General features: G+C 38.1%; 1 protein-coding gene across 3 annotated transcripts in view; it reads right to left on the minus strand.

The window, feature by feature from the left end:
* Nucleotides 1-14,174, minus strand: part of DPH6 (diphthamine biosynthesis 6) — a 401,189-nt gene that overhangs the window by 64,717 nt on the left and 322,298 nt on the right. For 2 of the 3 annotated variants that reach the window (XR_001751412.3, XM_017022708.3), the window contains one exon: nt 9,077-10,889. The exons of the other annotated variant lie outside the window; for it this stretch is intronic. Coding sequence is in view for 1 of the 2 variants with exons in the window: in XM_017022708.3 (XP_016878197.1) it covers nt 10,824-10,889 (66 nt within the window). In the remaining variant the exon portion in view is untranslated. Of the gene's footprint in view, nt 1-9,076; nt 10,890-14,174 lie in introns of those variants that run through there. 3 annotated transcript variants of the gene reach the window in all.

Below are 14,174 nucleotides of genomic sequence, written 5' to 3' on the forward strand. Positions count from 1 at the left end.
ATTGGGGAATTAAGATAAAATTAGTGATGACTATAAGTTTCTATCAAGTAATTTTCTTTCTCAATTGTGCACAGCCAATTACGAGGCAGAACACAACAGCTCAATCAAACCTTATTATTCCAGATTTAGTTCAAACCCTTATGAAGTGCACTGAGACTTGATATTGTCTGAATAAAACCTTTTCATAAATTGCTCTTTGGTAGGCTAGAAATAAAATAGATACTATAGGTACCTTTTAATGGGTCTTTAAGTTCTGCCAGGTATCCAGAGCAGTGGCAGTGAGCTGGCTGTTCATTAACATAACATTTCATAACAGTGAGCCATGAAAGTGTGCTGAAGTCTGGTGCTTCCATGTGTAGCTTCCAGGATTTTCAGGGTATGGCTTAAGGACAGAGTAGCTTTTGTTTGTATTCCACCACGAACAAATTTCATTGTGCAAGGTACCAGGGCAATTTGCCCAGTAAGATACAGGACTTCTCCAACCTGATACAGGAAAGGGAAATTAAGGACTAAAATAAGAAAACACTACTCTCTTCATTCAAGCTATTACCCGAGTTCTTACTTAACTGGACAAATGGTGATAATATCTACTTTGGTAGGTTATTCTGGGGATTAGATGTATATAAAATATCTATTATATAGAGTTTAGAGCCAGAGCAGGGAATCAAGAAATGTAGCAATTTATTATTATATTGTTATTAGCCATCATTATTATTTCTGAATTAAGACTTTGCCCCCAGTGCAACGAAGTTGACTGAGTTTACTCATGGACCAATAAAGGTACAGCGGGAATAATTAACCACTGTATTTGTTTTAGAGGGCAAAATTAATACAAGGATGAACAGTCATACACTACTTCATATGTCATACACTATTTTAAATAGTGTATAAACAGTCATGCACTATTTTAAAACCCAGTCACATGCTGGGCCTTAAAAGAATTAGTTCTGAGTATATGTGATTAATACTTTTATAATATCATAATATATGCCCCAATTAATTGGACACAGATCTTACTAGGATATTATTTATCCTTGAGGAACATTTAAAATAGGACTAGGAGAAAGATCTTCCTTCAAGTCTGTGTGTTCCTCAAGGGTGGCACTGTGTTTATGGGATAGGGGCTGTGGGTTTCAGGTCATGAAAGCAAGATTTCAAATATGTGTCTTTAAAGTTGAAAATGAATTTGCATCTTATCATTTCACAGACTAATGCCATGGAATTTTTGGCTTCTAAGGACATAGATAGATCACTTTTTTTTTTTTTTTTTTTTTTTTTTTTGCAAATCAGCCTCTATAATTGGACATAAGTGATATGAGACCTTTTTACAAAGCATCTGCTACTTTTTCTGTTGAGACGTTTACTAGATCTTGCTCCAAAAGAGCAAGGAGATAATAAAGGCTCTTTACTCTTTTCTGGTTTTCATAAAAATTCTGTGATAAAACCCTGTTTTTTCACTATTGGAAAGAGTAAACACATGAACTATTTAGTATATATAGATCCCGAATACAGAGTGGTGGTGAATAAAAACTTTTTCCTTTCCCTATTCCCAGAATGTGTAAATTATTTAATAGAGACTTTGCTAAACTTTTACCACAACTAAAAATTCCTCAGTATTAAAGCTCAGTGAAAAGAAATCTCAGTGCCTGAAGACAAGGAAATCAAACCATGTGACAGTCCCATATGCAACTCCAAATCTGTCCTCATAACTGTCTGTAGAGCTCACAAAAGAGTCACACATGTAGCTATTGGAAGAATATCTTACACAATTTGGCACACAAGTTCTAAGATTAGCAGCTGAAGAGGGGGAGGAGGAAGAGAGGAGCATAATACATTAACTGACACCCATCCACTATCTTTCTAAATTGTTTGGAATGTTAAAAATATTGTTTTGATCAATCTATATATACATCCTCAAATTTGAAAGAGAAATTCAAAGCATGTTGTGGTTGAAAGAACAAATGGTTTTTAAAAAAACACTATGAAATATATGTCACTGAACAAGGGAGTCCAGCCAGCTCCCAAGTGGCATGTTAACATGATGAAAAGCAAATCCAGGATGCTGTGAATCAAAGAGGCATGGCTCTATTTTTAAAAAGGCCTGTGTCTCCCCACCCTGTTTGCCAAGTACAATTTTTTTTGGAGTAGCCCAGCATCCAAAATAGGTAAGCATTTAAATGTTCCAGGGATTACCTGCCCAACACTTGACCACCTCCTCCCCTTATAAGGCCTTCGGCTCTACATACATCACCCATGTTAATTACCAGACAAACAGAAGAGCTGTTCAACTAGTTCACTTCCCCTATTCTTGAACAGATTGTTTGAGACATAATATGAATACTAATTAATGATAAAATATCTGTGAGTGTTTTGAAATATGGACGAAGATAGCACTTTTAGAAAGGCGCCCAGATACATCTTGTGCCACAAGCCCCACTGGTCATATGAAGGGTCAGGGTACAGCTTGGAGATATGAGAGCAAAACTGGCAGAGTTTTTGGCTCCAATTCAGTGGGAAACTGTGGACCACTTTTTTTTTTGGAGGGGGGATTTACTTTCTTGTTAACCTTTTCCCTTTGTTAAATTGGAAGAGTTTAGAATGAAAACTCTTTTCACAGACAAATGGAGAGAAAAACAGAATTTTGTTAGAGGTCAACCTGAGTAGATGGAAGAGTGAGACTTCAACATGTTTGATCCAGGATTATGGGTCTATGCTCTGCAGCAAAAGAAATACAAGCAGGTTAGGGCTGATCCAATGCTGAGAATGCTGAGTGCCCAGGACCGATTCAGCCTCTGTGATACAAAGGGCAGGGGAAAGATCGTTTAAAAAAATATGATTCCTCTTCAATTCAATCACCCTTTACAAATAGTTTGCTTAGTCTCAGAGAAGTGCACCCATAGAGATATAGGAAATATACTTTTCATTAAAGAGCAAAGCATATTATTAGGTTGAATTATAAAGACAACTGAAATAGTACTTTTTATGATGAGTCTAAGTCATTGCCAAATCGTGTTGTCTCCTTTCCTTCTAAAACTGAGTATTGTACTTCCTTCCTAAAACCTTTAAAACTGGCTCCGTCTTATCTCAGAAACTTTACTCCATTAATAAACTAGTCTTTGTATTCTTCAATTTTGATATCTAATGTAAATGCTTAAATAGTGCTTTATAATTCTTTGGACTTCAGTAATTGCAATTTGTTCTAATGCCAAAGAAAAGAGAAGAAGATTATTCAAAATTAAACTTAACAACAAAATAATTTATATTTGACATTAGAGTTGTTTTTGCATTGAATTTTAACAATGGATATGTAAAATATTAAAGAAATTCATTTGCCTCACTGAAAGAACTGAAAATGTCTCATGAAAATCTGATTTGGGAAAGAATTAAAGTTAGCCACAGTCTGCGTTTCATGTATAGCTAGTCCTTATCTGTCTGAGGTAAGGCCTGGAATTCTCACACTTTCCTGTAATTACATGATTCTTTCCAAGACTGATTCAAGGTTTGTCATGTTCCAACCTTTCTTAAGGGCAGGGGAAATGATCTCCTATTTGCATTTCAAAGCTTCTCTTTGCATTCAACTAAATTTAGAAAAAAGAGAGATGTCAACATCAAATTATCAAATGAGATACCGTTAACAGTAGTTGCCTAAGATGACAGCAAATTAAGTCCATAAATAAAGAAGGAAAAAGCATAATAAAGATAATTCATTGTAGATATGAACTTTTGTTATAACACACGTTTTTATGCTTGTTTACACTTATTTGTATTTCTCTTCATACATATTAATCTTTCCCCCACCTCCCCACTAGACCTGATGTTAGTACTTTAAGGCCATAGCAGGCTTTTCTTAAATATTTAGAAAAAAAGGTCTAAGAATATCTTCTCAGTTAACTGGAAAAATATACACAATATCCTGGGACAGGTCTTTTCCTCCTGATTGGCTGAACTCTTGAGACTTAATATTTCTTGGCCTTGCTTCCCCAAAGCCATCTCACCTGGACCCCAATTACATCACACAAAGATCCAAAGTCAACTGAAAGCACCAACTGCCACCCCCAGGCCCTGTGCCTAAGGTCCAAACCCACGCAGTGCTTACCTATCCTACGTGGTGAAATACACAATAAAGCTTAAAGAAGAGGCCGGGCGCGGTGGCTCACGCCTGTAATCCCAGCACTTTGGGAGGCCGAGGCGGGTGGATCACAAGGTCAGGAGATCGAGACCATCCTGGCTAACACGGTGAAACCCCGTCTCTATTAAAAATACAAAAAATTAGCCAGACGTGGTGGCGGGCGCCTGTAGTCCCAGCTACTCGCGAGGCTGAGGCAGGAGAATGGCGTGAACCCGCGAGACAGAGCTTGCAGTGAGCTGAGATTGCGCCACTGCACTCCAGCCTGGGCGACAGAGCGAGACTCCGTCTCAAAAAAAAAAAAAAAAGGCTTAAAGAAGAGAGAGGCTATGTCTTCTAATTCTTCTGGGTGTCCCAAGTATCCTCATGTTGATGTTACATTGCTCATTCAGTACTACAGGCGGTGGTGTCCTCAAAAGTGACAGCTAGTAAAGTGATTTTCATAGGGCTACTCTGAATTTACTAAGAGCATTCACAATGCCACTAGAACTGGTTGAGTCTTCACCAGTTTGGAGAGTAGAATGAAAGCTGAAACAGAGATGATATACAGAATCATTAGAAGCACAAAGTACGTAAGGAAGGATTTTCCTCCTTCTCATGTTTTTATGTTGCTCAGGCCCAAAACCTTGGAATCTTCCTCTAATCCTTTCTTTCTATTACTCCCCACTTTCTATCTGCCAGGATATACTGTTCTACTTTCAACATATATCCAGAATCCAACCACTTCTCATCATGTTCAATGTTACCACTATGATCCAAGCCACTATCATTTTTCATCTGAATCACGGATAAAACTTTTTTTTTTGAGGCAGAGTTTCACTCTTCTTACCCAAGCTGGAGTGCAGCGGCACGATCTCAGCTCACTGCAACCTCCGCCTCACGGGTTCAAGTGATTCTCCTGCCTCAGACTACCGAGTAGCTGGGATTACAGGCATCACCACCACATCCGGCTAATTTTTTGTATTTTTAGTAGAGATGGGGTTTCACCATGTTGGCCAGGCTTGTCTCGAACTCCTGACCTCAGGTGATCCAGCTGCCTCAGCCTCCCAAAGTGCTAGGATTACAGGTGTGAGCCACCACGCTTGGCCCTGGATACAACTTCTTAATCGGTCCATCTGCTTCTACTCTCGCAAGAATCTATGCTCAACCCAGTACCTGAGTGATCCTTGTAACATGAAAGTCAGATTAGGCCAGCCCTCTGCTCCACCTGTGAATTGAGTATGTGAATTATCATAACACCATCTTGTGCAATAATTCACCAAATAGTTTACCATTAGTGCCTTTTATGGCATGTTTAAGAAGCATCATGAGGGAAGAGGAACAGTTGACTTACCTACCAAGTGGGCAAATGCACAAGATACTCTCTGTGCCACTTGCCCACTTGGTAGAGAATGTCAGAGTCAAGAGTCCCTAACAAATATTTATATAACTTATCTTTAACTTGAATTTATGAACAGATGATTGTCTAGATGTCAGAGTAATATATGACTCATAAAAGTATGCAATACCAGAACACACAGATTTAACATAGAATAAGGAAGTACATATAACCTAAACTATTTATTTTGGTGGAAAATCTTTTTTTTAGAGACAGGGTGTCACTCAGTTGCCCAGGCTGGGGTACAGTGGTGTGATCACTGCTCACTGCAGCATCAAACTCTTGGGCTCTTACTCCCGTCTCAGCCTCCCAAGTAGCTGGGAACACAGGCGTGCACAACCACACCCAGCTAATTAAAAAAAATTTTTTTTTGTAGAGATGGAGTCTTGATTTGTTGGCCAGGCTGGTCTTAAACTCCTGGCTTCAAGTAATCTTCCTGCCTTGGATTACAGGTGCTAGCCACTACACCCAGCTGAAAATCTTTAACAACAGCTACCATTTACTGAGCCATTATCATATGCCATTTAATGCGCTAGGCATTTTACCTGCATAATTTCATTTGATTCTCACAAAGCCACTGTCGGCACTATTATTATACCTATTTTAACGACAAGTGCACTGGAACTTGGAGAAGTCAAGTAAATCACTCAAGGTTTCACAGGTGGGACACGGCAAACCTGGGACACAATTATAAGGATGTTTGATGGCAGTGCCTGTGCAGTCTTAACTACTAAGTCATATTACTTTTAATTTCCATAGGCATCTTTCTTATCTTTGGCTCTAGTACTTGATCCAACATTGGATATGAAAGTTTCTGTACATTTAGTACAGTTTCAGCAAAGTTAGTACAGTTTCAGAGAGTTAAATAGCTTTTCCAAAATTCTAAAGAATAATGCAAAGTTAGAGTCAGATTAGCATGGTAGATAGAGCTTGAATTTTAGAGCCAGCAAGACCTGGGTTGTGGGCCTTTGGACAGGTTACCCTGTGAAACCAGTTTTCTTATCTGTGAAATGACAATTATGCTGTCTGTATATAGAATGCTTAGTATTTTGCAGACAATATACCAATAGTCACTGTTAATCTCTAATGTTGAATCATTTGAAAACCATACGATCTCACAAACAAAGCAGATGTTTTGATAGTATATAGATTTGTTTTCTTTATATACTTGGTAGCTTAATTATTCATGAATTATAACAGTAATTTTTTCTTCAACTCTGACTCTCACTTTATTTTCATATTCAATGCTATTGGTTTAGTCACATGACTGAATTAAAACTTATTGCTTCTTACAATAGTCTGATAAATTACTAATGAATAATTTAATACTAGTAAAGAGATTAATGAGTTCTTAAATTATAACAAATTATTCTATCACAGGTTACAGTTACATGTAGCATAAAACTAATTATGGTCATTTACTTATTTAATCAGTAAATTTTTACCAAGTGCCTATATGTGCTGAGCACTGAACTCTTTGCTAGATATTTAATATGAAAATACACCATTCCTACTCTGAATAAATAGTCTAGTGGGAAGACAGTCATGCCAAGAGGGCCATTGAATCACTTGGAAAAACCAGTAAAAAGGTACCACAATTGATCAATCAAAAAACAAGTTGCTGAACTGGGGCAATGGCAGTGGGTTGACATAGAGGGCCCTTATATCTACTGGCAATATTCAGTAAGTAGAACTGATGGCATGTGATTCTAGATGAGATGTATATTTGGGGAGGACAGAATGTAAAGGAAAGGACCTAGGCTGACTCATGGGTTTCTATTTGATCTAGAGACACAACTTGTAAAACTGGTGTGCTAAACAAAAGTATTTTCTCCTTAAAATCTAACTCATGGAATCATCAGTGATATTTGAATCAATAATAGCAAATGTAAGTGATAATAATGTTAAGTAGAGGAGGACAAATAGAAAAAATTTTTAAAAATAAAATGCTAACAAATGTAACTAGTTACATCACCACCATATAAATTAGGTGCAATGCTTTATGATGAGAAAAATCACTTGAAGTATAAGCAAAAATTTAGGTTTAGATTAGATAACCTTGCATTTTCATTTCTCCTGTGATTGGCAGCAAATATCCAATCTCCTATGTCAGCAGTGGATATTTAGAAGGCATACCAATGTCCTTATTTTTTATTTATTTTTTATTTTTTTGAGACGGAGTTTTGCTCTTGTTGCCCAGGCTGGAGTGCAATGGCGGATCTCGGCTCATTGCAACCTCTGCCTCCCGGGTTCAAGCGATTCTCCTGCCTCAGCCTCCCAAGTAGCTGGGATTACAGACACCTGCCACCACGCCCGGCTAATTTTTGTATTTTTAGTAGAGATGGGGTTTCACTATGTTGGCCAGGCTGGTCTTGAACTCCTGACCTCAGGCGATCCACCCGCCTTGGCCTCCCAAAGTGCTGGGATTACAGGTGTGAGCCACTGCACCCGGCCACCAATGTCCTTATTAATGTGAGCCTCAAATATGGTTCTAACCGTTAACTTTGAGACTGGTGTCCCAGAGCCATTTCAGCAACTGTGTGCCCAACTTTCTACAATTAGAGCAAAGCCACATAGCAGGAGAAAAGTTTATATTGCAAAGGGATATACAGTTCTTTCTTGGTGTCAGTGGGGGAATGGTTCCAGAGTCTCTCTTGAATACCAAAATCTGAGAATGCTCATGTCCCTGATATAAAATGGCATACACACATCCTCCCTGTATGTTTTAAGTCATCTCTCGATGACTTATAATACTTAATGCAAAGTAAATGCTATGTAAATAGTTGTTATACTGTATTTTTTTTACTGAGTAATCACAAGAATAAAGTCTGTACGTGCTTGGTACAGACACAACATTTTTTTTCAAATATTTTCAGTCCTCGGTTGAATCCACAGATGCAGAACCCACAGATACAGAGGGCCAACTGTAGTCATTGGATCGATCTGCTCTTTAAAAAGCTATTTAGAGTTTCAAGTGCAAGCTGCTTGCTGAACAAAAATCCTCAGACACAATCAACCACAGGATTTCAACCAAACTTCAAGTATTTTACAAAGAAATAACATAGTATTTGTTCAAAGAGAACGAAACACCTTTTTCTAAGGGTGATTTAAGTCAATAAGTAATAAGCTAAATCTTTGTTATGAATGCATTCTGGGGTCTGAATGACTGTTGCCCTTTCAGAGGGCAAAGTGCACAAAAGATTCAGTGACCTTCTGACTTGACAGTCAAATAACTACCATTATGTTCAGTCAATATAAGTAAGCATGGCTGACAATTTGCTAATTGGCTGCCTGTGGTCAGTCAAGTGTACTTTTGACCTTAATGAGAACCTAATCAATTAATACTCAGGGCAATAAAGACTTCTTACTGATTAAGTTAGACAGAAATTATCTTTTTCTAATAGGATTAATGCTACAAAGTGGCCAACTTTTTATTTAACATATGATAATCCTCTCTTCTTTGGACTCTCTTATTTAGCTAACATGGTGAAACTGAATTATGAAACGTGAGATCTTTTGTTCAACTATGCTTAAAGCTTTTTTTTTTAATTAAAACAAAACAAGCAGTGTAATTAAGATACTAAAATGAGAACGTCTGGTGTTTATTTGAATTATATGACAATCAACTGAACCTGATATGATCACAGAATTGAAAAAAAATGTATGTTTTCTTACACCAAGAGAGTCCATATTGAAATCCTTAAAAAATAATGAAAGTCACTAGAATTGTTTTTAAATCAGGGTCCTTTTCTGGCAACTACTAAGATGATAGTAGCTAGGATTCCAGAGGCATACAGTTTTCTTTTTAATTGAAAAGAAAGATGATACTATTGTCTTTCATGAAGATATTTTAAAAATGCTCTTAAAATAAAAATTTCTTTACATTACAAGAGCAACTGTCATTTTAAGTCACAAAGTGTAGTCTTCTCTTCCGTAATGTGGTTGATATAAAGCAGCATCCTTTTATGTGCTCTGTAGAGTAGGTAAACAGCCTCTATGCTGAAATGCAGCCATAATTTGTAGGAGCTTCCAGAATTACTTTCTGTTTACAATGCATAATATCTGACTTGGCAAAGGAACAAGTTTATCATTTTAGGTTAAAAATTTATCATTTAGACACAGTGACTAAAAATTTATAATTCTCTGAGATAAGCTTTCCTCTTTAAGGCTTTGAAATTCATTTGGCTCAGACGATACTTTTGAAAATGTATGTATTTTATATAGGAGAGCAGATATGGTTCCTTTAAAAAATAGTTGAAAAGCAACAGCTGTGTATCTGCAATAACTGTTTCATGACGCTTTTAATACAGATAAATATGCAAATATGTCAGACTATTTTTAATACACCATTTTCACGCAGCCTAGTGACTGAAAACAGAGCAAACGTTCTGTGTATTTAGATTCATAATGAGAAATATACACCACTCAAAACTGGAATTATTGTCATGTTGCAGTGAGTAATAAAAAATATGTTTTTGGATGGTAAATAAAACAGTGCTAAGTCATAACAAGTACATTGACAAAGTCCAGGGAGTAGCTGTTCAGTTTCTACTACCATATCATCAATATTGTTTAAAAAAACTACAATGCACTGCTCAGATTCTTCTGCTGATGGGATAATACATGTTAACATCACAAACAATAGGTAATTTTATCTGGATTCTAGTTTCTGAAGACAGGGCCAACTGGGTTTCATAATTTAGATAAGTAATTCAAGTAGTTAAATCAAGTTACATTTTTTAGTAGAATCATATGAGAAATCCATAATGGAATTAGAATTAAGTCCCACAGGTTCAACTGAACCTTACTATGCTAAGCTTTCTTTTAATATTACCCACAATGACTTTGTTACACATTTATTATGAAAAATGTCAAACACAAAGCAGAGTATAATAAGGAACATCCACATACACTACCACTATTAACATTTTACTATACTTGTGATATCATATATCTCTGTCTACTATAATTTTTTTCTTTTAGATTTTTGACTACTTTTATTTTTTAAAAATAGACTATTTTGGGAGGGCAGTTTTACGTTTACAGAAAAGTTGAGTGGGAAATACCAAGAGGTCCCACATCACCTCCCAACCTCTCCCCACAGTTTCCTCTATTAATATTTTGGATTAGTGTAGTAGATTTGTTACAACTGATGAGTGTCTTAGCCTGTTTTATGCTGCTGTAACAGAATACTACAGACTGAGTAATTTATTAAGAACAGAAATGAATTGGCTCATAGTAGGATCTGTAATAATTAATTAGACCATGATGACTCCACCCTCATGAATGAACTCACAGTTCTGGAGGCTGAAAAGTCCACTATAAAGATGCCACCATCTGGTGAGAGCCTTCTTGCTGCATCATAACATGTTGGTAGGCATCACACTGTGAAAGGGCAAAGAGGCAGGAGACAGGAGTGAACAAGAGTGGGGTAAAGCCACTTCTGCAATAATAGCATTAGTTCATTCATAAGGGTGGACTCATCCTGGTCTAATTAATTATTACAGATCCTATCTCCCAAAACTGTTGCAATGGTAATTAAATTTCAACATGACTCTGGAAAGGACAACCATTCAAAACATAGTATTCTACCACCAACACAAGGGGCAGTATTGAAAAAAAAATTTTTTTGAAGTATTCCACCTCTAGCCTCCCAAAACTTATACATTCGTTTCAACCCAACAGCTCTCAAAGTCTTAACTCATTCCAGCATCAACTCAAAAGTCTAAGTCCAAAGTCTCATCTAAATCATCTGTGGGTGAGATTAAAGGCACAATTCATCATAAGGCAAATTCCTCTCCAGCTGTGAGCCTGTGAAATCAAAACATGCTACAAGCTTCCAAAACACCAAGGCGGAACAGGCAAAAGATGAACATTCATATTCCAAAAGGGGGAAAAGAGTAAACAACATTAAATCATAAGACTCCAGAGTAATCTTTCTTGACTCCATGTCCTGCCTCCTGAACACACTAGGGTAGGCGTTGGGCCCCCTAGGCCTCAGGCAGTCCCACCCCTATGGCTTTGCTGGGCTCTGCTCATGCAGCAGCTATCACAGGTTGAATTGCTGGGGCTACCTGTTGGTGGTTCTATAGTTCTGGGGTCTTAGGGGTGGCCCTATTCCCATGGCTCCACTAAGAACTTCCCTGACAGGGACTTTCTGCAGAGGCCGCACCCCCATGGCTCCACTAAGTACTGCCCTGGTGGGAACTCTCTGCAGTGGCTCCACTCCTGTGACAATTCTCAGCCTGGGTCTCAAGGGTCTCTGAGGTATCCTAGGTGAAGGCCACCATAGTACCAAGCTCATGCACTCTGTGTCTGCAGAGTTATCACCATGTGGACCATTATGGGTCTGTATGTTCCTGAGAGAGGTAGCAGGACCACTGGTTTTGCCCTTAAGGTCCTAGATGGGAAAGACATCCTGGAAGATCTCCTAAATGCCTTTGGGTTGTTCTCCCATTGTCTTGATGAATAGCACTTGGCTTCCTTCTATCCATACTAATCCCATTATCAAAGGGTAGCTTGGCTACCCCGTTGGTATTCTCTCCCAAGCAAGCTTTTTAATTCTTTATATGGCCAGGTGTCAATTTTTCCAAGTGGTTACATTCTGCTTTCTTTTTAATTAATTATAAATTCCATCTTTAAATCACTTCTCTTTTCTGACATTTTACTATGTGCAGTTGAAAGAAGCCATGCAGCACCCTCAATATTTTGCTTAGAAATTTCTTCTGTCAGATATCCTGGTTCATGGCTCTTAAATTCTGCCTTCCATAAAGCCCTGGGCCATGGACACAATTCAGCCAAGTTCTTTGCCACTTATAATAAGGATGGCCTTAACTCTAGTTTCCAATACCTTGTTTCTCATTTCTGAGAGTTCATTAGAATTGCTTTTACTGTTAACATTTCTATCAATATTCTGATCATGAACACTTACATAATCTCTAAGAAGTTTCAGACTTTCCCCACAGCTCTCTTCTTCTGAGCCATGTAGAAACAATTCAGCAGAATTACCCACAATGCTCAATTCATGACAATATAGGCTTTTTCCAGCATTAATTTCAAAACTGTTCTACCTGCTACCCATTACTCAGTTCCAAAGTCACTTCCATAATTTGTTATGTGAACCAAAAGTATTTGAGACAGGTTTCAATCAATTTAGAACATTTATTTTGTCAGGGTTAAGAACATGCCCTTGGCACAGTCTCATGAGGTCCTGATGACATGTGCCCAAACAAGATGATCAGGGTACAGCTTGGTTTTATACATTTTAGGGAGACATGAGACATCAACCAATACATGTAAAATGTACAGTGGTTTGGTCTGGAAGGGTAGGACAACTTGAAGGGGGGGGTTTCAGGTCATCGGTAGATGAGAAATGGTTGCATTCTTTTGAGTCTTTGACTAGCCTTTCACTGAATACACAATTCACATATGAACTGGGGTACAGAAAAAGTCACTTATGTCTTAGTCTGGCTCAGTGAATCTGCATTTTTACATAAACAATAGGGAAGAGGAAGCAATCAGATACGCATTTGTCTCAGGTGAGCAGAGGGATGACTTTGAGTTCTCTCTTTTGTCCTGTACCTGTGAAGATAAACTATCAATTTACATTGCCAGGGTGAAATTCAACTGTTTCAGGGTAAAGATCTTGAGGCCCACAAGGAATTTCCTTGTGGGCAAATTGTGAGGCAGGTAAGTAGCTTTTTAATCTTCGTAGCTATCTTATTTAGGAATCAAATGGGAGGCAAGTTTGCCTGAGGCAGTTCCCAGCTTGACTCTTCCCTCTGGCTTGGCGATTTTGGCGTCCAAAGACTTATTCCATTTCACAGTTGTAACAAGTTATAACAACTCTCCACTCTCTAGTACCACTTTTCTTAGTTTGCTTTGTGCTGCTATAACAGGGTACTTGACTGGGTAATTTATAATGAATGGAAATGTATTAGTTTACAGTTTTGGAGGCTGGGAAGTCTAAGATTAAAAGGCCAGAATCTTGCAAAGGCCTTCTTGCTGCATCATGCTATGATGGAAGGCATCACATGGTAGAAGAGCAAAAAGAGGGCAAGAAAACGAGCAAGAAAGGCAAATCTACTCTCCTGATAGTGAACTCACTCTCAGGAAAACAGCATTTGTCCATTGATGAGGGTGGAGCTCTAATGGACTCATCATCTCTTAAAACTCCCACCTCCCAATGACATTATAATAGCAATGAAGGCCGGGTGCCCTAGCTTACGCCTGTAATCCCTGCACTTTGGGAGGCCAAGGCTGGTGGATCACGAGGTCAGGAGATGGAGACCACCCTGGCTAAGAAGGTGAAACCCCGTCTCTACTAAAAATACAAAAAATTAACCAGGCACGGTGGTGGACGCCTGTAGTCCCAGCTACTCGGGAGGCTGAGGCAGGAGAATGGCGTGAACCTGGGAGGCGGAGCTTGCAGTGAGCGGAGATCGCGCCACTGCACTCCAGCCTGGGCGACAGAGCAAAACTCCGTCTCAAAAAAAAAAGCAATCAAATTTGTCATAATTTTGGAGGGGACAAACATTTACACTATAGCAATGAACCAATATTAATAAATTATTATTAATTAAAGTATATAGTTTATATTATAGTTTCACCCTTTGTGTTGAACTTTCTGTGAGTTTTAACTAATGCATAATGAAATGTACCCACTATTAC

This window comes from Homo sapiens, chromosome 15, assembly GCF_000001405.40.
Source record: "Homo sapiens chromosome 15, GRCh38.p14 Primary Assembly".
Lineage (NCBI taxonomy): Eukaryota > Metazoa > Chordata > Mammalia > Primates > Hominidae > Homo > Homo sapiens.